The 25,854-nt window shown below is 47.8% G+C and overlaps 2 protein-coding genes and 1 pseudogene across 2 annotated transcripts in view, besides 7 other annotated features; 1 reads left to right on the top strand and 2 right to left on the bottom strand.

The window, feature by feature from the left end:
- Nucleotides 1–1,494: 1,494 nt before the first annotated feature.
- On the bottom strand, nucleotides 1,495–25,035 carry ZNF425 (zinc finger protein 425). Its single transcript, NM_001001661.3, has 4 exons — nucleotides 24,907–25,035; nucleotides 16,933–17,059; nucleotides 10,848–11,006; nucleotides 1,495–4,277 (listed from the first exon to the last, which is right to left on the bottom strand). The coding sequence occupies exons 1-4, from the start codon at nucleotides 24,922–24,924 to the stop codon at nucleotides 2,323–2,325; spliced, it is 2,259 nt and encodes a 752-aa protein (NP_001001661.1). The 5' UTR covers nucleotides 24,925–25,035; the 3' UTR covers nucleotides 1,495–2,322.
- Nucleotides 3,814–4,014: a silencer, noted in NCBI's record as "peak6837 fragment used in MPRA reporter construct". NCBI's record gives its function as "represses an SCP1 promoter by STARR-seq MPRAs in K562 erythroleukemia cells {active_cell/tissue: K562}" and the evidence as "EXISTENCE:reporter gene assay evidence [ECO:0000049][PMID:32103011]".
- Nucleotides 22,949–23,449: an enhancer, noted in NCBI's record as "H3K4me1 hESC enhancer chr7:148821330-148821830 (GRCh37/hg19 assembly coordinates)". NCBI's record gives its function as "activates a minimal SCP1, AML or CMV promoter by ChIP-STARR-seq in naive H9 embryonic stem cells {active_cell/tissue: H9 hESC(naive)}" and the evidence as "EXISTENCE:reporter gene assay evidence [ECO:0000049][PMID:30033119]".
- Nucleotides 23,450–23,950: an enhancer, noted in NCBI's record as "H3K4me1 hESC enhancer chr7:148821831-148822331 (GRCh37/hg19 assembly coordinates)". NCBI's record gives its function as "activates a minimal SCP1, AML or CMV promoter by ChIP-STARR-seq in naive H9 embryonic stem cells {active_cell/tissue: H9 hESC(naive)}" and the evidence as "EXISTENCE:reporter gene assay evidence [ECO:0000049][PMID:30033119]".
- Nucleotides 24,198–24,749: an enhancer, noted in NCBI's record as "NANOG-H3K27ac-H3K4me1 hESC enhancer chr7:148822579-148823130 (GRCh37/hg19 assembly coordinates)". NCBI's record gives its function as "activates a minimal SCP1, AML or CMV promoter by ChIP-STARR-seq in primed H9 embryonic stem cells {active_cell/tissue: H9 hESC(primed)}" and the evidence as "EXISTENCE:reporter gene assay evidence [ECO:0000049][PMID:30033119]".
- Nucleotides 24,404–24,697, bottom strand: RN7SL521P (RNA, 7SL, cytoplasmic 521, pseudogene; annotated as a pseudogene).
- Nucleotides 24,460–24,633: a silencer, noted in NCBI's record as "fragment chr7:148822841-148823014 (GRCh37/hg19 assembly coordinates)". NCBI's record gives its function as "represses an EF-1alpha promoter that drives an FKBP-Casp9 reporter gene in an ReSE screen in K562 erythroleukemia cells {active_cell/tissue: K562}" and the evidence as "EXISTENCE:reporter gene assay evidence [ECO:0000049][PMID:32094911]".
- Nucleotides 24,750–25,301: an enhancer, noted in NCBI's record as "NANOG-H3K27ac-H3K4me1 hESC enhancer chr7:148823131-148823682 (GRCh37/hg19 assembly coordinates)". NCBI's record gives its function as "activates a minimal SCP1, AML or CMV promoter by ChIP-STARR-seq in naive and primed H9 embryonic stem cells {active_cell/tissue: H9 hESC(naive and primed)}" and the evidence as "EXISTENCE:reporter gene assay evidence [ECO:0000049][PMID:30033119]".
- The window catches only part of ZNF398 (zinc finger protein 398), a 56,635-nt gene continuing 55,899 nt past the window's right edge, over nucleotides 25,119–25,854 (top strand). Inside the window, exon 1 of the mRNA NM_020781.4 lies at nucleotides 25,119–25,366. The gene's annotated coding sequence lies outside the window, so the exon portion shown is untranslated. The remainder of the gene's footprint in view (nucleotides 25,367–25,854) is intronic.
- Nucleotides 25,365–25,804: a silencer, noted in NCBI's record as "silent region_18747". NCBI's record gives its function as "represses an Ori minimal core promoter by ATAC-STARR-seq in GM12878 lymphoblastoid cells {active_cell/tissue: GM12878}" and the evidence as "EXISTENCE:reporter gene assay evidence [ECO:0000049][PMID:35858748]".

Genomic DNA, 25,854 nt, shown 5'->3' on the forward strand with positions numbered 1-25,854 from the left:
ACCTGGGCTCAAGCAATCCTCCCACCTCAGCCCCCAAGCAGCTGGGACTACAGGTGCACACCACCATGCCCTGCTAATTTTTCTAAGTTTTGTAGAGATGGGGTTTCGCCATGTTGGCCAGGCTGGTCTCAAATTCCTGACCTCAGGTGATCCACTCACCTTGGCCTCCCAAAGTGCTCAGATTACAGGCATGAGCCACCGTGCCTCACCCATTATCTTTTAAAACTCTTTCTGAAAAGCATTTTTTAAAAATGTCTTTATTTTCACATTATTTTATTTTTAGTTCTGAATCTACCTGTTAAACTGTTGGCATTTCATTTATCTGATCACTGGCACTTTAGTTTTGTTTTTTGAGGTGTACCACATAAATAGCAGCCTATTCCCTACCCACAGGACTGTCCCAAACACAGGCGGCACCTTTTTCCTCTTTGTATAGATGCTGTGATTCTTTTTTCCTTTTTTTGAGACAGAGTCTCGCTCTGTCCTCCAGGCTGGAGTGCAGTGGTGAGATCTCGGCTCACTGCAAGCTCCGCCTCCCGAATTCACACCATTCTCCTGCCTCAGCGTCCCGAGTAGCTGGAACTACAGGCACCCGCCACCACGCCCGGCTAATTTTTTGTATTTTGTATTTTAACACGGGTTTTCACCGTGTTAGCCAGGATGGTCTTGATCTCCTGACCTCGTGATCTGCCCGTCTTGGCCTCCCAAAGTGCTGGGATTACAGGTGTGAGCCACTGCGCCCGGCCGACGCTGTGATTCTTGTAGCGACTTTGATCCCAGCAGATTCTGACTTCGGTAACTGGGGACCATGTTTTGTGCAACACACACAAAATTTATGAAGGTACTCAAATTTCCTAAGGAAGGCTGTAAGTTATCCTAACAGTAATGTCAAAGGCTGGGTGCGGTGGCTCATACCTGTAATCCCAGCACTTTGGAAGGCCGAGGTGGGCGGATCACGGATGTCAGGGGATGGAGACCATCCTGGCTAACATGGTGAAACCCCGTCTCTACTAAGAATACAAAAAATTAGCCAGAAGTGGTGGCAGACGCCTGTAGTCCCTGCTACTCGGGAGGCTGAGGCAGGAGAATCACTTGAACACAGGAGGTGGAGTTTGCAGTGATCTGAGATGGCGCCCCTGCACTCCAGCCTTGGTGACAGAGCGAGATTCCATCTCAAGAAAAAAAAAAAACGAGTAATGTCAAAGATTGACAGTCTGAGAGACAGATGAGGGTTTGCCAGAATAGCCTGGAAAATCTTATAATGTTAGATTAGGCGACAGGGCAAAAAAAAAATAGTGGTGCTGTGGACTGACAGTATTTTATCCTTTGGTATTTTCCTCAGAGACCCTAATGTTAAGTATAGTTCTTTGAGAACTGACATAACACTGTTGAAAATGCAGAGGGGTTAGATAAATAACACTGCCTGTTACTCACAGTGGTGGACTTTTAGGTGATTTAAGTAAAATTCAGAAGGAAAGAACACATGGGTAATCATTTTAACAAATGAGATAGTGGAAGACATTTATTTTTAGCAATATGGAAACATTCCAAGAAACAGAAGCCCTCTCACCATCTGAGAGAAAATGAAAATCCACTATGAGAGAAAACTGAAGACTTTAATACAGATTTAAGTAAAATGGCCTGGTAATGGAAAAGCTGACTGAGGAATATGTTCCTGGCTGTAACATTTCTTCACTCAGGCTGTAGTTTCTGAATTTAATGAAGGGATTATTGGATGACACTGAAGAGATCGTTGGACTAGCAGATCAGTGTGAATGTTTCCTCCACAACTGGCACGTCTTTCCTATGACGATTATTGAGGGAGATGTCTCTTTGACTGTCTATGGATTATTTGGAACTTTTGTCAAGGAGCCATAGAGTTCTGCAGACCACACACCTGTCCAGTGTGTCTGTAGCCAGTATTTTGTGATTTTTTTTCTTTTTTGAGACAAGATCTTGCTCTGTCACCCAGGCTGGAGTGCAGTGGTGTGAGCATGGCTCACTGCAGCCTCTGCCTCCTGGGCTCAAGCGATCCTCCTGCCTCAACCTCCCAAAGTAGCTGGGACCACAAGCATGCACCACAACGCCTGGCTGACTTTTATATTTTTTGTAGAGATGGAGTCTTGCAATGTTGCCTAGGCTGGTCTCAAACTTCTGGGCTCAAGCGATCCTCCCACCTGGGCCTCCCAAAGTAATGGGATTACAGGCGGGAGCCACTGTGCCCGATCTTACCCTGTGAATCCTTCAACCTGCCTCAACTTGAGCCAACAGAGCTGCTGGCACCTCCTGAAAGCCGACTGCGTGACTGCTGCATGGCCTGACCTAGAGGCTGGAGGGCTTCTCTTTGGCATGCACTGCAATGTGGGTCTTGAGCGCCCCCACGTACGTGAAGCTCCTTCCACACTCATCACAAGAAAAAGGCCTCTCCCCACTGTGAAGGCACAGATGGGCCTTCAGGCTTCTCTTCTGGAGGAAGCCTTTGCCACACTCGGGACACTGGAAGGGCCTCTCTCCACTGTGCTTATACAAGTGGACCTTCAAGCTGCCCCTGATGCAGTAGCTCTTGTCACACTCCGGACACTGGAAGGGCTTCTCCCCGCTGTGGACTCGAATGTGTTCTGTGAGCCGGTACTGTTGAGTGAAACTTTTGCCGCACATCACACAAGAGAATGGCTTTTGGCCACTGTGCTGCAGCAGGTGGCTTTTCAGGTTTCCCTTGAGGCGGAAAGTCTTCTCGCATTCAGGACACTGGTAGGGCTTCTCTCCACTGTGCAGCCTCAGGTGCTCGGTGAGCTGAGACTGATGCGTGTAGGTCTTGTCACACTCACCGCACGCGAAGGGCTTCTCGTCCCTGTGCATCCGCTGGTGGAACTTCATGGAGGCCTTCCAGGAGAAGCTCTTGTCGCACTCGGGACACTGGAAGGGCTCCTCGCCACTGTGAAGCCTCGTGTGCTCTGTGAGATGCGCGCGTCGGCGGAAACTGCGGCCGCACTCGGCGCAGGAGAACGGCTTTTCCGTGGTGTGGACCTTCAGGTGCTGCGTGAGCCGCGACTGCTGAGAAAAGGTCTTTTTGCACTCGCCGCAGGGAAACTCCTTCTGCCTGTCGTGGACTCTGGTGTGGCAGGCGAGCTTGGAAGGCCGCGTGAAGCGCTTGCCGCACTCGGCGCAGGGGAAGGGCTTTTGCTCGCTGTGCAGGCGCTGGTGGGCGCGCATGGCGTTCCTCCAGAAGAAGCCCCTGCTGCACTCCGGGCACTGGAAGGGCCGCTTCCCAATGTGCTGCAGCCCGTGGGCTTTCAGGCTTCTCTTGAGGCGGAAACTTTTGTTACACTCGGGACACGAAAAGGGCTTCTCTCCCGTGTGAACTCTGATGTGCTCGTCCAGCTTAATCTTGTAGATGAATTTCCTGCCACATTCACCACAAGAAAACGGCTTTTCCTCGCTGTGCGTCCTCTGGTGGGTCTTCAGGGCAGCCTTCCGGGAGAAGCTCCGGCCACACTCGGGACAGTGGAAGGGCCTCTTCCCGCTGTGCTGGGTCAGATGGACCTTCATGCCCCTCTTCAGGCGGAAGCACCGGTCACACTGCGGACACTGGAAGGGCTTCTCTCCGCTGTGCAGCCGCAAGTGCTCCGTGAGCTCGCACTGCTGCACGAAGGCCCGGCCGCACTCCCCGCAGCAGAACGGCCGCTCCCCGCGGTGTAGACACAGGTGCTTCTTCAGGTTGGCCCTGTACCGGAAGGTCTTGTCGCACTCAGGGCATGGGTAGGGCCGCTGGCCGGTGTGGACAACCTGATGAGTGACGAGGCTGCCCTTCAGGAAGTAGCTCTTCTCACACTCACTGCACTGGAACCGCTTCTTCTGACACAGGAGCCTCTGCGTCCGCCTGAGTTCGGACTTCCCTCTGGACGAGTTTTTGTACTTTGGGTATCTGCAGAGCTGGCTCTTGGAGTGGCTCCGTTTGTGCTTTAGCAAATCCCTCCTTACTTGGAAGACTTTCCTACAGACATAGCAGGAATAGCATCTTGGCCCTGTGGGAATTTCTAAGCGCCCTGGGGTCTCCCGAGGCTTATGCCGCAGGTCTTTCTTGTCTGGATCATATGCTGTGATGCTGACTTTTTTATTTAGAATCTCTGTTTCTCGGAGACTTGGAGACTGGAAGGTGGCTGTTTGAGCTAATAAAATCTTTCTCTCTTTCCCTCGTAAGGCAGCACACAAGTCCTGTTTTTGAGGACCATTTAAACGGCAATCCTCTTCTTTTGTCCTGGGAGTTCCTTCGTCATCTGGAGCAGAAAGAAGTATCACTCTCATCAGTGATATGTCTACCCTATAAATGGGTTCAAGGACTGTCTTTTAAAAATTTATTATTATTATTATTATTTTTTGCGATAGAGTCTCGCTCTGTTGTCCAGGCTGGATTGCAGTGGTGCGATCTCGGCTCACTGCAAGCTCCGCCTCCCGGGTTCACGCCATTCTACTGCCTCAGCCTCCCAAGTAGCTGGGACGACAGGCGCCCGCCACCACGCCCGGCTAATTTTTTGTATTTTTAGTAGAGACGGGGTTTCACCATGTTAGCCAGGATGACCTCGTGATCCACTGCCTCGGCCTCCCAAAGTGCTGGGATTACAGGCGTGAGCCACCGCGCTTGGCCTTTTTTAAAAAAAATTTTTTTCCTTTTTTTTTTTTTTTTGAGACGGAGTATTACTCTGTCGCCCAGGCTGGAGTGCAGTGGCACAATCCTGGCTCACTGCATCCTCCACCTCCTGGGTTCAAGCAATTCTCTGCCTCAGCCTCCTGAGTAGCTGGGATTACAGGCACCCACCACCACGCCTGGCTAATTTTTGTATTTTTAATAGAGACAGGGTTTCACCATCTTGGCCAGGCTGGTCTTGAATTCCTGACCTCCTGATCCACCCACCTCAGCCTCCCAAAGTGCTGGGATTACAGGCATGAGCCACCATGCCTGGCCTAAAATTTTTTGAGACAGTCTCACTCTGTTGCCCAGGCTAGAGTGCGGTGGCGTGATCTCGGCTCACTGCAACCTCTGCCTCCCTGGTTTAAGCAATTCTTGTGCCTCAGCCTCCTGAGTAGCTGGGACTATCCACCACCATACCCAGCTAATGTTTTGTATTTTTAGTAGAGACAGGGTTTCAGCATGTTGGCCAGTCTTGTCTCAAACTGACCTCAAACAATCCACCCACCTTGGCCTCCCAAAGTGCTGGGATTACAGGCATGAGCCACCGTGCCTAGCCATTCAAGGACTGTCTTCATGTCACTAACAAAGTAGAAAAGGGAATCCCACTGATCTCAATGACTTTGTCAATCTGCCTCCTGCAGGTAAATCATATTTAACTTTTATATTCTTTTCACCATGTGTTAAGAAATAACTTAGCATGAAAAAAATTGCAAGCAAATTGAAATTCATAGTTCACATCTTGTGAACTATAGGGTAAGCAGAAGTTGGAGACAGTGAAAATGAGTTACTCTGATCATCTGACTATACCATTACATCTATGAAATAAATGGCAAATATTTAAAGAGGTGGCCAGGCGCAGTGGCTCACACCTGTAATCCCAGCACTTTGGGAGGCTGAGGTGGGCAGATCACGAGGTCAGGAGTTGGAGACCAGCCTGGTCAATATGGTGAAACCCTGTCTCTACTAAAAATACACAGATTAGCTGGGTGTGGTTATGTGCGCCTGTAGTCCCAGCTATTCGGGAGGCTGAGGCAGGAGCATCTCTTGAACCCAGGAGACGGAGGTTGTAGCGAGCTGAGATCACACCACTGTACTCCAGCCTGGGTGACAAAGTGAGACTGTCTCAAAAAAAAAAAAAAAAAAATTTTTAAGGAGGACAGCTTAGGGCCATATTCTTGTCTCCCTTCTACCAGAGATTTCAGGAAAGATTTTCTGGAAGAAATGCTAATAGAAAATATTTTTCTTAGGAATATAAAAATGACAGCTTACTGAATTCACAAATAACACTGTAGAATTTTTTTCCTTTTCCAAAAAACTCTGCATTATAAGAATGATTTATTTATTTATTTATTTATTTATTTATTTATTTTTTTTCTGAGACAGAGTCTAGCTCTGTCGCCCAGGCTGGAGTGCAGTAGCGCGATCTCTGCTCACTGCAAGCTCCACCTCCCGGGTTCATGCCATTCTCCTGCCTCAGCCTCCTGAGTAGCTGGGACTACAGGCGCCCACCACCACGCCCGGCTAATTTTTTGTATTTTTAGTAGAGACGGGGTTTCATCATGTTAGCCAGGATGGTCTCGATCTCCTGACCTTGTGATCTGCCCGCCTTGGCTTCCCAAAGTGCTGGGATTACAGGCATAAGCCACCGCGCCTGGCCAAGAATGATATATTTATATAGCATAATCACTACTGTTCCCAAAGTAGAAGACATGATGACAGGAAATAGAGGAACCTGAGTTATCATTATTACCCACTAGATCTGGAAAGGACCATTGCAGATATTCACTTAAGCCATTATATTTCAGAACTGCTTTTCCTCCAAAGTCTTGTCGAACTGGATAATGGAACTCTCTCCCATTTATTTATTTATTTATTTATTTATTTATTTATTTATTTATTTTTGAGCTAGGTCTCACTATGTTGCTGCCCAGGCTAGAGTGCAGTGGCATGATCACATTTCACTGCAGCCTTGACCTCCAGGGCTCAAGTGATCCTCCAACGTTAGCCCCTACCTCCAAGTAGCTGGGACTACAGGCACACACCATCATGCTCAGCTAATTTTTTTTATTTTTTGTAGAGATGGGGTCTTGTTATGTTGCCCAGGCTAGTCTCAAACTCCTGGCTTCAACTAATCTTCCTGCCTCAGCCTCACAAAGTGCTGGGATTACAGGCATGAGCCACTGTACCTGAGCAAACTCTCAGCCTACAGGTACCCACTACCACGCCCGGCTAATTTTTGTATTTTTAGTAGAGACAGAGTTTCACCATGTTGGCATTTTTTAATCTCCTAACCTGGGAGGAAACCCAAGTGACACTGCCCCCAGAGGACTCTCATTATGCTCTGTGGTCACCTTAAGGACAACACAGGTGATGTTTTCAACATGATCATATGATTTAGTAAGTTAACACTAATACCTTTTGCCTGGATTGTGATGAAAGTATATTTACCTTGAATCCCCTTCCTCATCACTGGAAGTTAAATCTTCCTAAAAACATGCTTTTACTATTTAACCCAGGCAGACGAGCAGCTGTGATTATTGGCTGAGCACCACCTTGTACTAAGGGAACAACATTTATTTTTAGGGATAGCTACCAAAGTTGTTAACTCTTTGGTACTCAAAAATCCTTCCAGGACTGGGTGTGGTGGCTCACGCCTGTAATCCCAGCACTTTGGGAGGCTGAGGTGGGTGGATCACGAGGTCAGGAGATGGAGACCATCCTGGCTAACACGGTGAAACCCCATCTCTACTAATATACAAAAAATTAGCCGGGCATGGTGGAGTGTGCCTGTAGTCCCAGCTACTCGGGAGGCTGAGGCAGGGGAATCGTTTGAATCCGGGAGGTGGAAGTTGCAGTGAGCTGAGATTGCACCACTGCACTCCAGTTTGGTGACATAGCAAGACTCTGTCTAAGAAAAAAAATAAAAATCTTCCCAAGCTCCTCCCATTCTATAGGATGAAGTCAAACTTTCCACCTTGGCAATCCTGGCCTCACGTCGTCTAACACCAATTTATGTTTTTCCTCCCATGTCCCACTATGTCCCAAGAGAGTAACATTCAGTTACAGGCAGGTTGGTGTCTTCTCTGTTTTCTTTTTTCTTTCTTTTTTTTTTTTTTTGAAACGGAGTCTCGCTCTGTTGCCAGGCTGGAGTGCAGTGGCGCGATCTTGGCTCACTGCAACCTCCGCCTCCCGGGTTCACGCCATTCTCCTGTCTCACCCTCCTCAGTAGCTGGGACTACAGGCAGCTGCCACCACGCCTGGCTAATTTTTGTATTTTTAGTAGAGATAGGGGTTTCACCATGTTAGCCAGGCTGGTCTCGATCTCTCGACCTCGTGATCCACCCTCCTCAGCCTCCCAAAGTGCTGGGATTACAGGCATGAGCCACGGCACCCAGCCTAGTCTTCTCTGTTTTCTAAATGTAATAGATTTGTTCCTGTCTTTGAGCTTCAGTTCATGTATGACCCCTACTGATTCTTCTTTCTCTAACCAAATCTGCCCATTTTTTGCTATTTATATCCTAATTCCTTTTAGAGTCCTCCTGGGATATTGCTCTCTCTCCTCCGCTCCTTCTCCTCTAAATCCCTATAGCACAGAATTAGGGATTACTTAATATTTTATTAAGTCATATGCAATCTTATTTTATAGTTGACTAATTCAACTATGTATAGTTCAATATAATTGGCTAACTTAATTGCCATGTCAGTAAGACGATCAACATCTAGAATATAACAATTGTTTTATTCATATGTATACATACACATACATTATATAAAGTTTTTGCCCTCGCCTAACGTACTCCTGTGACTGTGGGAGGCACTCGATATTGGTTAGATGAGTGAATGAATAGACAGTGTCAATGAAATGAAACCCTTGATAATTCTTTATTTATTTTCTTTTTCTTTTTTTTTTTTTTGGAGACAGAGTCTCGCTCTGTCACCCAGGCTGGAGTGCAATGGCGCAATCTTGGCTCACTGCAACCTCCGCCTCCAGGGCTCAACCAATTCCCCTGCCTCCGCCTCCTGAGTAGCTGGGATAACAGGAGCCTGCCACCACACCTGACTAATTTTTGTATTTTCAGTAGAAACGGGTTTCATGATATTGGCAAGGCTGGTCTCGAACTCCTGACCTCATGTGATCCGACCTCCTCAGCCTCCCAAAGTGCTGAGATTATAGGCGTGAGTCACCGCGCCTGACCAGGAAATTCTTTTATCCTGTTGATGGGGCTTGGACACACTTCCTGGCCTCAAAGTCTCCTGCTTCAGAGGATTCCTTGACTCCCAAGAACCTAGAAAAGCATTTGTGCAGCCGGGCACGGTAGCTCACGCCTGTAATCCCAGCACTTTGGGAAGCCGAGGTGGGTGGATCACCTGAGGTCAGGAGTTCGAGACCAGCCTGGCCAACATGGTGAAACCCCATCTCTACTAAAAATATAAAAACTAGCCAGGCGTGGTTGTGGGTGCCTGTAATCCCAGCTACTCAGGAGGCTGAGGCAGGAGAATTGCTTGAACCCAGGAGATGGAGGTTGCAGTGAGCCCACACGGTGCCACTGCACTCCAGCCTCATCGACAGAGTGAGACTCCATCTCACAAAAAAAAAAAAAAGAAAAGCATTCGCGCACTATAAAAAGTGAAATACTCCCTTATGTCACAAGGAATTCAAAAGGAGTTTTAAAAACCCAAGTTTTAAAGTTCTGTATAATAAAAAAAATTTTGTACAAAATTACAGGGTTTTTCATTTCTGTATATTCAAATGGACATGACAGTGTGACAAGGAGTGGTTTTTCCTCTCAGGGTTTTGACAAATGGATCCCTTGTTCTTTTTTTTTTTTTTTTGAGACGGAGTCCCACTCTGTCGCCCAGGCTGGAGTGCAGTGGTGCAATCTCGGCTCACTGCAAACTCCGCCTCCTGCATTCCAGCAATTCTCCTGCCTCAGCCTCGCGAGTAGCTGGGATTACAGGCATGCGCCAACACCCCCGGCTAATTTTTGTATTTTTAGTAGAGAGGGGGTTTCGCCATGTTGGCCAGGCTGGTCTCGAACCCCTGACCTCAGGTGATCCACCCGCCTTGACCTACCAAGGTGCTAGGATTACAGGCATGAGCCATCACGCCCGGCCATCCCTTGCCCTTTACAAGGAATTGTCATCTTCTTCCCAGGATTTGTTTTTTTTTAAATAACATATATCACCACACCAGGCATGGTGGCTCACGTCTATAATCCCAGCACTTTGGAAGAGCAAATGGGTGGATCACTTGAGGTCGGGAGTTTGAGACCAGACTGGCCAATATGGCGAAACACTGTCTCTACTAAAAATACAAAAAATTAGCCGGGTGTCGGGCGCGGTGGCTCATGCCTGTAATCCCAGCACTTTGGGAGGCCGAGTTGGATGGATCACAAGGTCAGGAGTTTGAGACCAGCCTGGCCAATATGGTGAAACCCCTTCTCTACTAAAAATACAAAAAAATTAGCCAGGTGTGGTGGCAGGCATCTGTAGTCCCAGCTACTCTGGAGGCTGAGGAAGGAGAATCCCTGGAACCCGGGAGGCAGAGGTTGCAGTGAGCCGAGATTGCACAGTTGGGCTCCACCCTGGGTGACAGAGCAAGACTCTGTCTAAAAAAAAAAAAAAAAAAAAAAAAAAAAAAATTATATATCTATATAAAACTTTCTGTATGAGAGTAATACATAATACAGTCTCACATTTGCTACCCTCTCTTTTTTTGAGATGGAGTCTCGCTCTGTCTCCCAGGCTGGAGTGCAATGGCATGACATTGGCTCACCACAACCTCCGCCTCCCACGTTCAAACAATTCTCCTGCCTCAGCCTCCAGAGTAGCTGGGATTGTGGGTGCCTGCCACCACGCCCAGCTAATTTTTTTGTATTTTTAGTAGAGATGGGGTTTTACCATGTTGGCCAGGCTGGTCTGGAACTCCTGACCTCAGGTGATCCACCCACCTCAGCCTCCTAAAGTGCTGAGATTACAGGCATGAGCCACCACGCCCAGCCCACATTTGCTACCCTCTTGAGTAAAGAAAACTAACATTCTCCATCAAAACAACTTTTTTTATTGACTAGATCTAGTCAGATATCCAAAAAGAAAGATTCAGGAAACAAGGCTAGGAAAATAAAATAATTCATGATCTTAAATCCATCTTACTCACCAAAACATAGCAACTTTCCAGTATTCTTCATGTTCAACTGTTCATCAGTAGGAGGGCTAGTTGTCCTTCTTGTTTTATCTAAGCATCCCTGTTCGCTGATTAATAGCATTCTCCCTTGTTCCATCCATGTGATCAAATCTGGCTTGGAAAAAGCATACCCTGCAAATAGAGTCCACACAGACTTTGAGTTTACTGCATACTTAAATAATTTTTTTGGCCGGGTGTGGTGGCTCACGCCTGTAATCCCAGCACTTTGGGAGGCCAAGGCAGGCAGATCTCTTGAGGTCAGGAGTTAGAGACCAGCCTGGCCAACACAGCAAACTCCGTCTCTACTAAAATTACAAAAATTAGCTGGGCGTGGTAGCACACGCTTGTAATACCAGCTACTCGGGAGGCTGAAGTGCGAGAATCACTTGAACCTGGGAGATGGAGGTTATAGTGAGTAGAGATCGCGCCTCTGCACCCCAGCCTAGGCAACAGACCGAGACTCCGTTTCAAAAAAAATTATTTTTAAAAATTATTATCATTATTATTTTATTTTATTTTTGAGACAGGGTCTCACTCTGTCACCCATGCTGGAGTGCAGTGGTACAATCTTGGCTCATTGCAACCTCTGCCTCCCGGGGATCAACTGATCCTCCCACCTCAGCCTCCTGAGTAGCTGGGACTATAGGCATGCGCCACCATGCCCTGCTAATTTTGTATTTTTATAGAGATAGCGTTTTGCCACGTTGCCCAGGCTGGTCTCAAACTGCTGGGCATAAGCAGTCTGCCTGCGTCGGCCTCCCAAAGTGCTGGGATTATAGGGGTGAGCCACCGCGCCCAGCCCCGTGACCCTTTTTTTTTTTTTTTTTTTTTTAGACAGAGTATCGCTCTGTCTCCCAGGCTGGAATGCAGTGGTGCGATCTCGGCTCACTGCAACCTCCACCTCCCAGGTTCAACCAATTCTCCTGCCTCAGCCTCCCGAGTAGCTGGGATTACAGGTACGTGCCACCATGCCTGGCTAATTTTCATATTTTTAGTAGACAGGGTTTCACCATGTTGGCCAGGATAGTCTCGAACTCCTGACCTCAAGAGATCCACCCACCTCAGCTTCCCAAAGTGCTAGGATTACAGGCATGAGCCACCGTGCCCGGCCTCTCTCTCTTTTTTACCATTACCCACAATAAAAATCATTTTCATAGTTGACTTCGATTCCTAGAGACGTTGAGATCAAAGTTAAGTCAAAAAAATGAAAGCCGTTGAAATGACATGAATGACAATAGAATAAAGCCTTACCAAGACTTTAGTTCAGGCCAGGTGCAGTGGCTCATGCCTGTATACCCAGAACTTTGGGAGACTGAGGTGGGAGGACTGCTTGAGCCCAGGAGTTTGAGACCAGCCTGGGCAACATAGGGAGACCCCATTCCTACAAATTTTTTTTTTTTTTTTTTGAGACGGAGTCTCACTCTGTCGCCCAGGCTGGAGTGCAGTGGCATGATCTCAGCTTACTGGCAGCTCCACCTCCCAGGTTCATGCCATTCTCCTGCCTCAGCCTCCCGAGTAGCTGGGACTACAGGCGCCTGCCACCACGCCCGGCTAATGTTTTGTATTTTTAGTAGAGATGGGGTTTCACCGTGTTAGCCAGGATGGTCTCAATCTCCTGACCTCGTGATCCACCCACCTTGGCCTCCCAAAGTGCTGGGATTACAGGCGTGAGCCACCGCACCTGGCCCAAAAATTTTAAAAATTAGCCAGGTGCGGTGGTGTATGCCTGTGGTCCCAGCTACTCAGCAGGCAGAGTTGGGAGGATCACTTGAGCCCATGAGTTTGAGGCTGCAGTGAGCTGTGATTGTGCCACTGCACCCAGCCTAGGTGATAGAGAGAGACTCTGTCTAAAAAAAAAAAAAAAAAAAAGACTGTTCAGTTTAAATATCCTCTGCAATATTTCACAAAATTTTTTGAGACAGTCTTGCTCTGTTGCCCATACTGGAGTGCAGTGGTGTGATCTTGGCTCACTGCAACCTCTGCCTCCCGGGTTCAAGCGATTCTCCTGCCTCAGCCTCCTGAGTAGGTGGGACTACAGGGGTGCAACACCACGCCCAGCTAATTTTTTTTTTTTTTTTTTTGGTATTTTTAGTAGAGACGGGGTTTCACCAAGTTGGTCAGGCTGGTCTGGAACACCTGACCTCATGATCCACCTGCCTCAGCCTCCCAAAGTGCTGGAATTACAGGCGTGAGCCACTGCGCCCAGCCTTTTTTTTTTTTTTTTTTTCTTTGAAATGGAGTCTCACTCTGTCACCAGGCTGGAGTGCAGGGCACAGTCTGGCTGGAGTGCAGTGGCACAGAGTGGCTCACTGCAACCTCCGCCTTCCGAGTTCAAGCAATTCTCCTGCCTCAGCCTCCTGAGTTGCTGGGATTGCAGGTGTGCGCCACCATGCCCGGCTAATTTTTTGTATTTTTAGTAGCGATGGGGTTTCACTATGTTGGCCAGGCCGGTCTCGAATGCCTAACCTCATGATCCACTCACCTTGGCTTCCCAAAGTGGTGGGATTACAGGCGTGAACCACTGTGCCCGGCCCAATATTTCACAAAATAATTAAAGGAAGCAGACAAGTTAAGGATGATATGGATTTAAAAAAGTGATCATTATGAGAACACTGTGAGTAAAAAAAAAAAAAAAGAAAAGAAAAGAAAAGAAAACTTACAGGGAGTTAAGGAGGGAACTTCAATCACTAAACTTTTCTGATGAGATGGCTCACATCCAATCCTCACCATTGAGGTACCAAAATTCTTTTTTTCTTTTCTTTCTTTTCTTTTTTTTTTTTTTTTTTTTTGAGACAGAGTCTTACTCTGTCACCCAGGCTGGACTGCAGAGTTGTGATCTTGGCTCACTGCAACCTCCAACTCCCAGGTTCAAGCAATCCTCCCACCTCAGCCTCCTGAGTAGCTAGGATTACAGACGTGTGCCACCACGCTGGCTAATTTTTTTTTTTTTTTTTTTTTGTATTTTTAGTAGAGATGGGGTTTCACTATGTTGGCCAGGCTGGTCTCAAACTCCTTATCTCAAGTGATCTGTCCGCCTCGACCTCCCAAAGTATTGGGATTACAGGCATGAGCCCCCACGCCTGGTGAATATCGAGGTACCAACATTCTTGATCAGTGAAGTGATAGAAACAGGAGGTTGTTAAATAACAGTGATTAAGAGGTAGAAAGTAATGCAGTCTAGTGGCATAAGCCTAAAAGAAGGGTTTTTTGCTGGGTGCGGTGGCTCACGCTTGTAATCCCAGTACTTTGGGAGGCTGAGGCGGGCGGATCACCTGAGGTCAGGAGTTCGAGACCACCCTGGCCAACATGACCACCCTGGCCAACATGACCACCCTGGCCAACATGGTGAAACCCTGTCTCTACTAAAAATATAAAAATTAGCCAGGTGTGGTGGCGCACGCCTGTAATTTCAGCTACTCAGGAGGCTGAGGCAGGAGAATAGCTTGAAACTGGGAGACAGAGGTTGTAGTGAGCCGAGATCGTGCCATTGCACTCCAGCCTGGGTGACAGAGCGAGACTCCGTCAAAAAAAAAAAAAAAAAAGAAGGGTTTCCATAAATCAGTAGAGGGTCTTCAGAGTAGGCAGCAGGAAGCCTCTTCCTCTGAGCCTTTGGTGGTGTCAGCTACAGCTCAGCCCTCAGATCAAGGCTTCATCTCCAAGGGAAGTGGGTACCGCCAGCATTAGCAGCACCTCAAGTACTTGTGAAAAATGTAGATCCCTGGGCCTGAGCCCGAACCTGCTAAATCCTAAGCGCTGGGGCTGGGATCTGGATGTTCTATACGGAAAATCATTGGCAGGTAATACCATTTGATTTTTAAAATTTGGAAAAATCTGGCTAAATTTTCCAAGTTGAAGGACACTAATTGTGATACCTCACAACAAGACTGGATCAGCACACAGCTCTCATCTGTCCCACCCTGCTGGCTCCTGGGCCTCGGTGTCCTCAGGTTAGCCTCTAAATGAGTTGTTGTCCCAGGTCTCTTTCTGTTCTGTCTACACAATTCTCCCTGGATGATCCCAAACCAGCCCCATAGTTTAAAATACCATCACTATAACGTCTTCCAATTCTGTAAATCCAGTCCTAACCTTAACATGGAATTCCAGTTTCACATACTTTATGTTTCCATGGAAATGTATATGAGCATCTCAGATGTAATGTGGCACAAATGTGCGACCTCCCTAACCTTCCTCCTGTTAGTGAACAAAGCCACTTGCCATCAGGATACTCAAACCAAAAATCAAGGAGTTGATTCTTCTTTTTTTCCACATCTAATCCATCAGCAAAATCTAGGATTCTGCCTCTAAAGCCTATCTGGAGACCATCTTCTTCTGTCTTAATTACTACCTACCTGGTTCAGCTGCCATGAAATCGCACCAGAACGGCCAACACTCTTGGCTAGTGTCTCTCCTTTCATTGCTGTCCACTATGATTCATTCTCCACATAGCAACCCAAGTAACCATTTTAAAAGTAAATCACTCCCCTCTGTTTAAATCCCCCCATCATCTTCCCCTTGTGCTGAGAATAAAATCCAACTCCTTATCTTGTCCTTTGGGGCCCTTCCTCACCAGCCTTCTGTGCAGATCCTACCACAGGCTCAGTGTAGGTCTCAACAACCTGAGCCCAGGCACTCCTACCCTGGGGCCTTTGCCCTAGTTTTTCTCTGCTTAAAATTGTCTTCCCCCTAATTTCACATGGTTGATTCTTGTCATTCCTATCTCACACAATAAAATATAAATCCCCCAAGCAGGGAATGAGTCCTTCAGGCTAGACTGAGATCACTTATTATATTGATACCAGTAGAAATGGTTTTAATGAGGCCAGGCGTGGTGGCTCATGCCTGTAATCCCAGCACTTTGGGAGGCTGAGGTGAGCAGATCACGAGGTCAGGAGTTCGAGACCAGCCTGGCCAACATGATGAAAACCCATCTCTATTAAAAATGCAAAAAAAAATTAGCCAGCGCGGTGGCGGGCACCTGTAGTCTCAGCTACTTGGGAGGCTGAGACAGGAGAATCACTTGAACCCAGGAGGCAGAGGTTGCAGTGAGCGGAGATTACACCACTGCACTCCAGTATGGACTCCGTCTCAAAAAAAAAAAAGAAATGGTTTTAATGATACAAGAATGTGTCAGAATAAGCCGGATAAGCAGCAAGTTATAATTTCCCCAAATTTCTCTTTAATCTTTTTAATCTACTCCTTGAGTATGTCCCTGGAGTTACCTAAGTGTCCCATCCCACTGCTCTCTCCTCCCTTCCTCTACCCTTTTCTTGCCTGTTATATTCACACCATGCACTATGTTGCATCCCAGCTTATTCTCACTTAATCACTCTGTCCCCTTCATGAAACCAATAGTTCCTTGAAGATGAGAAATTCATCTTATTCAGGCAGGCAACACAATAAGGAGGCATGAAAGTATTAAAGAAATAAAAGAATACACTTCTTTTAAAAAAAAAGGGGCAATTAGATTACTTAGTAATTCTTTTTTTTTTTTTTTTTTTTTTTTTTTTGAGATGGACTCTTGCTCTGTTGCCCAGGCTGGAGTGCAATGGCACGATCTTGGCTCAATGCAACCTCCGCCTCCCAGGTTCAAGCGATTCTCCTGTCTCAGCCTCCCCAGTAGCTAGGATTACAGGCATGCACCAACATGCCCAGCTAATTTTGTATTTTTAGTAGAGACAGGGCTTCTCCATGTTGATCAGGCTGGTCTCGAACTCCTGATCTCAGGTGATCCACCCGCCTCAGCCTCCCAAAGTGCTGGGATTACAGGCGTGAGCCACCGCGCCTGGCCAGATTACTTAGTAATTCTAATTGTGGGAGACATTGGGGAGGGTTAAGGTAGGAGACAGAGAATTTAGAGTATTAATAATACTGAAGGCAAAGATACCACTGGATAAAAAGGAATTTAATATTCCCAGGCCATTATAGGAAAGGGAGGAGACATTATGAATGTAAACTGGGCACAGTATCATATTCAACCAGCCCACGGCTCATACAGGGAAGGAAGCCTGGTACTATTAGGTTGGTTCCTAAAAAGTGATTCCTTAGAAGCTCATCTTACCCAGGGAATCAAGGGTCTCGTAATTGGTCTTCATCTCTTGCTTATACATTTGCTTCTGCCACTTCTCCAGGATCTCCCACTCTTGTTCCGAAAAATATAAGGCCACATCATCAAATGTCACAGTTACCTGGAATCACAAATAGTATACACATACATTTTTACTTTACGGCTACTTTGTTTTTCAATGTCCATTACTTTATTGAGATACAGAAAGAAAACATGTTAATTATTTCTGGATGGTGCCATATTATAAAATAAACAACAAAGGGGTCACAAATATCCACTGGAGCCAAGTAAAATGAATGAATGGGCCGGGCCCAGTCGCTCACGCCTGTAATCCCAGCACTTTGGGAGGCCAAAGTGGGTGGATCACCTGAGGTCAGGAGTTTGAGAGACCAGCCTGGCCAACATGGCAAAACCTCATCTCTACTAAAAATTAAAAAATTAGCTGGGCGTGATGGCACATTCCTGTAGTCCCAGTTACTCAGGAAGCTGAGGCAGGAGAATCGTTTGAACCCGGAAGGCAGAGGTTGCAGTGAGTTGAGATCCTGCCACTGCACTCCAGCCTGGGCTACAGAGTGAGCCTCTGTCTCAAAAATAATAAAAATAAACTAAAATGAATGAATGAATAGCAGGCCTTTGAGCACAAAGACCATCTAAAAAGGGATGCTTTACTTAGCAGCAACCAGTTACTGCTGTGGAAGACTGGGTCTAGTATTGCTGGATGTGTCAGTTTTTGAAAAATGTTTTACTTTGAAATAATTATACATTCACAAGATGTTGTAAAAACAGCACAGAAGGCTTCCATGTAAGTGTGCCTATAGTCCCAGCTACTTGGGAGGCTGAGGCGGGAGGACTGCTTAAGTTCAGGAGTTTGAAACCAGCCTAGATTTTTTTTTTTTTTTTTTGAGATGGAGTCTCTCTCTGACACCCAGGCTGGAGTGCAGTGGCTCAATCTCGGCTCACTGCAAAGTCTGACTCCCAGGTTCAAGTGATTCTCCTGCCCCAGCCTCCCAAGTAGCTGGGATTACGGGGTGTGCCACCATGCCTGGTTCGAGAGACCAACCTGGCCAACGTGGTAAAACCTCATCTCTACTAAAAATACAAAAATTAGCTGGGTGTGGTGGCACGCCTGGATTAAGGCACGAGCCACTACGCCTGGCCCAAAAATTATTTTTAAAAAGGTTCCATGTACCCTTCACCCACTTTACCCAAAAGGTCATATTGTATATTATAGTACAATATCAAAACAAGTAAACTGACATTGGTGCAATGTGTACATATAATTCTGTTATTTCATCGCATATGCTCACTCATGTAACCACCACTGCAATCAAAAAACACAACTACAGTCAGCCTTTGTATTCACAGGTTCCACATCCATAAATTCGACCAACCTTAGATCAAAACTGCTTTAAAAATAAAAGCCAGGTATGGTAATCCCAGCACTTTGGGAGGCTGAGGTGGGAAGACTGCTTGAGCTCAAGTTTGAGACCAGCCTGAGCAACATAGCAAGACCTCATCTCTATTAAAAAATAAAATAAAGTAAAATTTTAAATAATGTATTTTAAAATGCAAGAATATACTACAAATTTTTTAAAATCCAGCATAACTATTTACATAGCGTTTATATTGTATTAGGTATTATAAGTAATTGAGACATGATTTATGTACAAGAAGATGTGCACGGGGTATATGTAAATTCTACCATTTTATATAAGGGACTTGAGCATCCATGGATTTTGGTATCTGTGAGGGGTCCTGGAACCAATCCCTTGCGGATACTGACAGACAACTGCATCCCATCACCACAAAGAGCTCCCTTGTTGCAACCCTTTATAATCACAACCACGAATCTATTATCCATCACAATTCTGCCATTTCAAGAATGTTGGCTGGGTACAGTGGCTCACCCCTGTAATCCCAGTACTTTGGGAGACTGAGGCAGGCAGGAGTTTGAGACCAGCCTGGCCAACATGGTGAAACCCCGTCTCTACTAAAAATACAAAAGTTAGCCGGGCATTGTGGCACATGCCTGTAGCCCCAGCTACTCGGGAGGCTGAGGCAGGAGAATTGCTTGAACCTGGGAGGCGTAGTTGGCAGTGAGCTGTGACTGTGCCACTGCACTCCAGCCTGGGCGACAGAATGAGACTCTGTCTCAAAAAAACAAACAAAAAAAGTTATATAAATGGAATCACATGGTATGCGACCTTCTGAAATTGACTTTTTTCTCTCAGCATAATGTCCTTGAGATCCATCCAAGTTGTCATGTTTACCAATATAGTCATGTGCCACACGATGCTTCAGTGAGAGACCACATATACAACAGTGGTCCTATAAGATTATAATATTGCATTTTTACTGGACGTTTATGTTTAGATACACAAATACTTACTATTGTGTTACAACTGCCTACGGTATTCAGTACAGTAACATGCTATACAAGTTTGTAGCCTAGGAGAAATAAGCTATACCATCTAGGTTTTTGGAAGCACACTCTGATGTTTGCACAACCACAAAATTGCCTAACAATGTGTTTCTCAAAACACATTCTTGTCGTTAAGCAACCCAGGACTGTATTTCATTTCTTTTTTTATTGCCGAGTAGTATTCCATGGTATGGATGCACCAGTTTGATTAGCCATTCACCTACTGAGAAATATTTTGGTTTTAACTTTTTGGATATTAACAAAAGAGCTGTTATGGACAATCATGTACAGGATTTGGGGTGGGCATGTTTTTATTTTTCTGGGGTAAATGCCCAGGACTACAACTGCTGTGTCATATGATGAGTATTTGTTTAGTTTTTAAAGAAAATGCCAAACTATATTCCAGAGTGGCTGGGCCATTTTACATTCCTTTTTTTTTTTTTTTTTTTTTTTTTTTTTTTTGAGACGGAGTCTCGCTCTGTCGCCCAGGCTGGAGTGCAGTGGCGGGATCTCGGCTCACTGCAAGCTCCGCCTCCCGGGTTCACGCCATTCTCCTGCCTCAGCCTCCCAAGTAGCTGGGACTACAGGCGCCCGCCACTACGCCCGGCTAATTTTTTTTGTATTTTTAGTAGAGACGGGGTTTCACCGTTTTAGCCGGGATGGTCTCGATCTCCTGACCTCGTGATCCGCCCGCCTCGGCCTCCCAAAGTGCTGGGATTACAGGCGTGAGCCACCGCGCCCGGCCTTTTTTTTTTTTTTTGAGAGGGAGTCCCGCTCTGTGGCCCAGGCTGGAGTGCAGTGGTGTGATCTCGGCTTACCACAACCTCCGCCTCCCGGGATCAAGTGATTCTCCTGCCTCAGCCTCACGAGCAGCTGGAACTGCAGGCGTGCCCCACCATGCCCGGATAATTTTTGTATTTTTAGTAGAAATGGGGTTTCACTATGTTGGTCAGGCTGGTCTTGAACTCCTGATCTTGTGATCCGCCCACCTCGGCCTCCCAAAGTGCTGGGATTACAGGCCTGAGCCATTATGCCTGGTCGCCATTTCACATTCCTACCAGCAATCTATAAGACAGCATTTCTTAGCACCATCGCCAGCATTTGGCAATGTCACTACTTTTAACTGTTCTGATAGGTGTATAGTGATCTCTAACTGTGGCTTTAATTTGGTTTTCCTAATGAGTAATGATGTTAAACATCTTTTTATGTGTTTTTTCCCATGAAAATATTCTCTTTGGCAAAATGCCACTTTATATATTTTGCCCGTTTTCTTTGTTTTTTTTTGAGACGGAGTCTCGCTCTGTCACCCAGGCTGGAGTGCAGTGGTGCAATCGCGGCTCACTGCAAGCTGCATCTCCCAGGTTCACGCCATTCTTCTGCCTCAGCCTCCTGAGTAGCTGGGACTACAGGCACCCGTCACCACCGCCGGCTTTTTTTTTTTTTTTTTGTATTTTTGTATTTTTAGTAGAGATGGGGTTTCACCATGTTAGCCAGGATGGTCTCGATCTCCTGACCTCGTGATCCGCCCACTCTCGGCCTCCCAAAGTGCTGGGATTACAGGTGTGAGCCACCACTCCCGGCCATCTTTTGCCCATTTTCTAATTGGATTTTTTTTTAACTGTCCAAGGAAGATTCTTTTTTTTTTTAAATAAAGATGGTGTCTTGCTACATTGCGCAGGCTAATCTGAAACTCCAGGGCTCAAGCAATCCTCCTGCCTCAGGCTCCGGAAGTGCTGGGATTATAGGCAGGAGCCACCTTGCCTAGCTGAGCTCTTTATGTAGTCTAGACAGGAGTCCTTTGTCAGATATGTGGTTTGCAAATTTTGGCCCCAGTCCGTATCTTTTCACGCTCTTAACAGGATCCTTCAAAAAGCAAGTTTTAAATTTTGATTATGTCCAATTTATCACTTTTTTCCCTTTATTGATTGTGCTGGTGGTACACCACCAGGGACTTCCCACTGTGCCCTAGGTTCCAAAGATTTTCTCCAGTGTCACCTTCTACAGGTTTTGTAGCTGTGTTTTACATTGAGACGTGGGTTTTTTGTTTTTGTTTTTGTTTTTTTGTACACGGAGTCTCGTTCCGTCGCCCAGGTTGGAGTGCAATGGCGCAATCTCGGCTCACTACAACCTCTGCCTCCTTGGTTCAAGCAGTCCTCCTGCCTCAGCCTCCTGAGTAGCTGGGATTACAGGCATGTGCGACCACGCCCAGCTAATTTTGTATTTTTAGTAGAGACGGGGTTTCACCATGTTGGCCAGGCTGGTCTTGAACTCCTAACCTCAGGTGATCTACCCACCTCAACCTCCCAAAGTGCTGGGATTTACAGGTGTGAGCTACCACACCCGGCCTGGGATGTGTCATTTTCTTAAAGAGAAACTGGAAACATAGATCATTTTATGTGAACTCATGTTGGCAACTAAAATTCCCAATTTTAACAGGGGTGTTTCAAACAAAATGTCTGCAAGCCATGATTGGCTCATGGACCATTAACCTACAACCTCTAGTATGGACTGAACTAACCAGGGCGGCTCTTCCTGGGTGTTTGAGGACAGATCCACTGTGTCAAGAGGGAAGCAACAGAACATGTGTAACTTTTGAAAATTCCATTTTCACTCCTTTCAGATTCTGTGCTATAAATATAGATGACAGCCTACTAGCAAAGTACTGGACATCTTGAAAGATGGCTAAGGCTCTTCCCAAGTATATAGAAAATGTTGGTCAGAAGCACTACAAGTCTCCCAATAAGAGAATCTAGGAGACCTGACGTTTAACACTTAGGCTTTTGGAGATAAAAGTTTCAGAGCTAAAATTCTATCTAAACTATCATAAGCCCTGAAAGCTTAAGTATCAGCTATTATGACAAACAAGTTCAAACTTGTTTTATTTTCATTTATTTATTTATTGAGGCGGAGTCTCGCTCTGTCCCCAGGCTGGAGTGCAGTGGCACAATCTTGGCTCACTGCAACCTCTGCCTCCCAGGTTCAAGAGATTCTTCTGTCTCAGCCTCCCGAGTAGTTGGGTTTACAGGAGCGCGCCACCACACCCGGCTAATTTTTCTATTTTTAGTAGAGACCGGGTTTCGCCATGTTGGCCAGGCTGGTCTGGAACTCCTGACCTCAGTTGATCCGCCCGCCTCGGCCTCCCAAAGTGCTAGGATTACAGGCGTGAGCCACTGCGCCCGGACTTGCTTTTTCTTTTTTTTTTTTTTTTTCCTTTTTGAGACGGAGTCTCGCTCTTTCGCCCAGACTGGAGAGCAGTGATGCCATCTCGGCTCACTGCAAGCTCCGCCTCCCGGGTTCACGCCATTCTCCTGACTCAGCCTCCCGAGTAGCTGGGACTACAGGCGCCCACCACCACACCCGGCTAATTTTTTGTCTTTTTAGTAGAGACGGGGTTTCACCGTGTTAGCCAGGATGGTCTTGATCTCCTGACCTCGTGATCCGCCCGGCTCGGCCTCCCAAAGTGCTGGGATTACAGGCCTGAGCTACCACGCCTGGCCTGGCCTTGCTATTTATTTATTTATTTTTGAGATGGAGTCCCCTCTGTCGCCCAGGCTGGAGTGCAGTGGCGTGATCTTGGCTCACTGCAAGCTCCACCTTCCGGGTTCACGCCGTTCTCCTGCCTCAGCCTCCCAAGTAGCTGGGACTACAGGCCCCCGCCACCACGCCCGGCTAATTTTTTGTAATTTTAGTAGAGAGGGAGTTTCACCGTGTTAGCCAGGATGGTCTCGATCTCCTGACCTCATGATCCGCCCGTCTTGGCCACCCAAAGTGCTGGGATTACAGGCGTAAGCCACCACGTCCGGATGGCCTTGTTATTTTTACAATGTGATTTCAACCAAATTCCTCTACAGTTTTATTGTACCTCACCCATATTTTTTTGTTGTTGTTGTTGTTGTTGGTTTTGTTTTTGAGACGGAGTTTCGCTCTTGTTGCCCAGGCTGGAGTGCAATGGCACGATCTCGGCTCACTTCAACCTCTGCCTCCTGGGTTCAAGCGATTCTCTTGCCTCAGCCTCCCCAGTAGCTGAGATTACAGGCATGCACCACCATGCCAGGCTAATTTTGTATTTTTGGTAGAGACGGGCTTTCTCCATGTTGGTCAGGCTGGTCTCGAACTCCCGACCTCAGGTGATCCGCCCGCCTCAGCCTCCCAAAGTGCTGGGATTACTGGCGTGAGCCACCACGCCCGGCCACCCATGTGTTTTCCACCTATAAAATTCCCATTTATGACCACATTTACAATTAGCATTAAACTGCTACAGTGGAAAGGAAAATCAAGAAAACGATTTTTCCTTGCCTATCCCAAATAATACATTAGCCAATAAACTGTTACCACATTTTCTATAAATTCAATGTACAAAGAAGAGCTACCACAAACTTTCCCAGAACAGAGAGGAATATTCCAGGAGATTCCCAATCACTTAAAGAGGAGAGAAAAAAAGAAAGCCTGGCTGTAGAAACAAAGCTTGGAGAAATCAGAAAAGAATCTGTACCTGCCAAAGGAGGGTGGGGAAAAGGAGTGGGAAGCAAAAGGGAAGAATCAAATGCAAATAAGGAGCATTACATTCCTAAGATTATAAAATTTCATTGGGGGCACAAGAAAAACTTGCACACTTAAGCAAGTTATACTTAACTGAATGTAACAGGGTTTCTTGGATTAAGCCTCAGGATACGCCTTTCAAACTCTAAAACCGGTGCTCAAATTTTCAATACTACATTACAATACTACAGCATTTACGGTAAATTCGATTTACGCTAACCACCCAATTCATTTTAAGTTTTCTGTCCTTTCCTAGAGGGAGCGGTCTCCAATTTCTCTCAGTTCCAGCTTTCCTTCTCCTTTTTCTCATCTGCTTAACACTGATGTGCTTCTCTGAAACTACCTTCAGCAGGAGAGCACGGGCCCCAGAGAGACCCCGAGGTTCAGAGCCCCGACACTGAAGGCAGGGACAGCGTTGTTGATCTGAGCCTACAACAGGCCGAGAAACAGATCTTTCCCACCCGGATTCTTTCTCCCAAACCAACTTTTATTTATGTATTAAACAGACGGGGTCTGGCTGTTGCCCAGGCTGGAGGGCAGTGGCTATTCACAGGCGCGATCCCACTAACGATCAGCACTGGGGTTTTGCCCTGCTCGGTTTCCGAGCTGGGCCGGTTCCCCCTCCCTGGGGAACCTGGTGGTCCCCGCTCCCGAGAGGTCACCACACAGATGCAGAACTCAGAGGCACCGCGCGACGGACCTAGCGCATATACAGCGCAGAGCTCCCGGGCTCAAGCGCTGCTCCCGCCTCAGCCTTCCGAGTGGCCGGGGCCACAGACGCGCGCGGCCAAGCCCGGCCAGACCAGCTTTTCCCCAGGTCAATTCCAGAACAGCACACGCAGCAAGACTGCACCTTCTCCAGCCCAGCCCGGAGCTCAGTCCGTGGGCCACTGCCAACCCCCAGGCCCAGGCCCCGGCCGCCCCACTCCCTGGACGCGGACCCCAATCCAGCTGCGACAGGGACCCGAGTTTCGACAGAGCCTGCATCCTCCACCGGCCCTTCTTACCGAAGCCGGCTCGGCCATGGCGGTTCCGCACGAACCGGCCCTGCCTGGCACGGCCTCCCCTCCGCTCCGCCCCAACCCAACTCCCAGGTACAGCCCTGCTGGCCCCCAAAGGCAGAGCCGGCCGGGCGCGGTGCATGCTGGGACTCGGCGCTCGGAAGCGGAAGCCGCTCCGCCCCATAGCGCCCCCTGCGGGCGGGAGGAGCGGCGCCGCCAGAGGGAGTCGGTCCTCAGAGGAGGGGCCCGGGCACCCTCCGTGCGGGCCGCAGCACGCCGGTCTTTGAGGGACCCTTGGACTCCCGGATCTGCATGCGAGGGATGCGGTCGAAGACGAGATGAGGGAGCTGACGGGAGGGGAAACGGAGGGGCAGGTGAACATGGAGAGAGCAGGAACAGGGAGAGAGTAGGGACAGCGACTGGGAGACGCGCTCCACAGAAACCCGGACTGAGAGGCAGCGAGAGGGTGAGAGTCCGGTGCTGTTCCTTCCAAAGCTGCCCCCAAGTCAGGGATGAGCTCGAGGGTTTCGTTTGTGAGGGGGTCCCGGGAATCCAGCGAGGCCGGGTAGGTGGTGGGGGGCGCGCGGTGGCCCGGGGTGTCCGTCCCGCCGGGGGCGCGGAGGCCGTGTGGGCCCCGGGCATGTCCCGTCGGGGACGCGGAGGAGGGGTCCGCCCACCACGTCCGGTCCCCGTGGGTGCAGCGCCCTTCTGGGCTCCCCGAGCGTCCACACTCCCTCCTTGGCAGAGAAAGGCCTCGGGCAGAGACCCCATGCGGAAGCCACCCCGGCCTCGGGGCCGCCTGCGGGGACTCAGGGTCGCCCAGGGATGCGGGCCGGGCACCCCTAGCCCCCGGCGGGAGACTGTGACAGAGCGGGAGAAGACGGAGGAGGCCATGACACAGGGCGTGAGAAACACGAAGACGCAAAAACGGGAGAGGTGGGAAGACGCAGAAGG

Source organism: Homo sapiens, chromosome 7 (assembly GCF_000001405.40).
Source record: "Homo sapiens chromosome 7, GRCh38.p14 Primary Assembly".
Taxonomy (NCBI): domain Eukaryota; kingdom Metazoa; phylum Chordata; class Mammalia; order Primates; family Hominidae; genus Homo; species Homo sapiens.

Excerpts from the sequence above, each read along its gene's own strand:
- ZNF425 (NM_001001661.3), bottom strand. Across the intron at positions 11,007-16,932 it reads CGAGACCCTTGATTCCCTGG|GGTATGCTTTTTCCAAGCCA; the intron begins GTAAGATGAGCT and ends CTCTATTTGCAG. Across the intron at positions 4,278-10,847 it reads TGGAAAGTTGCTATGTTTTG|ATGACGAAGGAACTCCCAGG; the intron begins GTGAGTAAGATG and ends TTTCTGCTCCAG.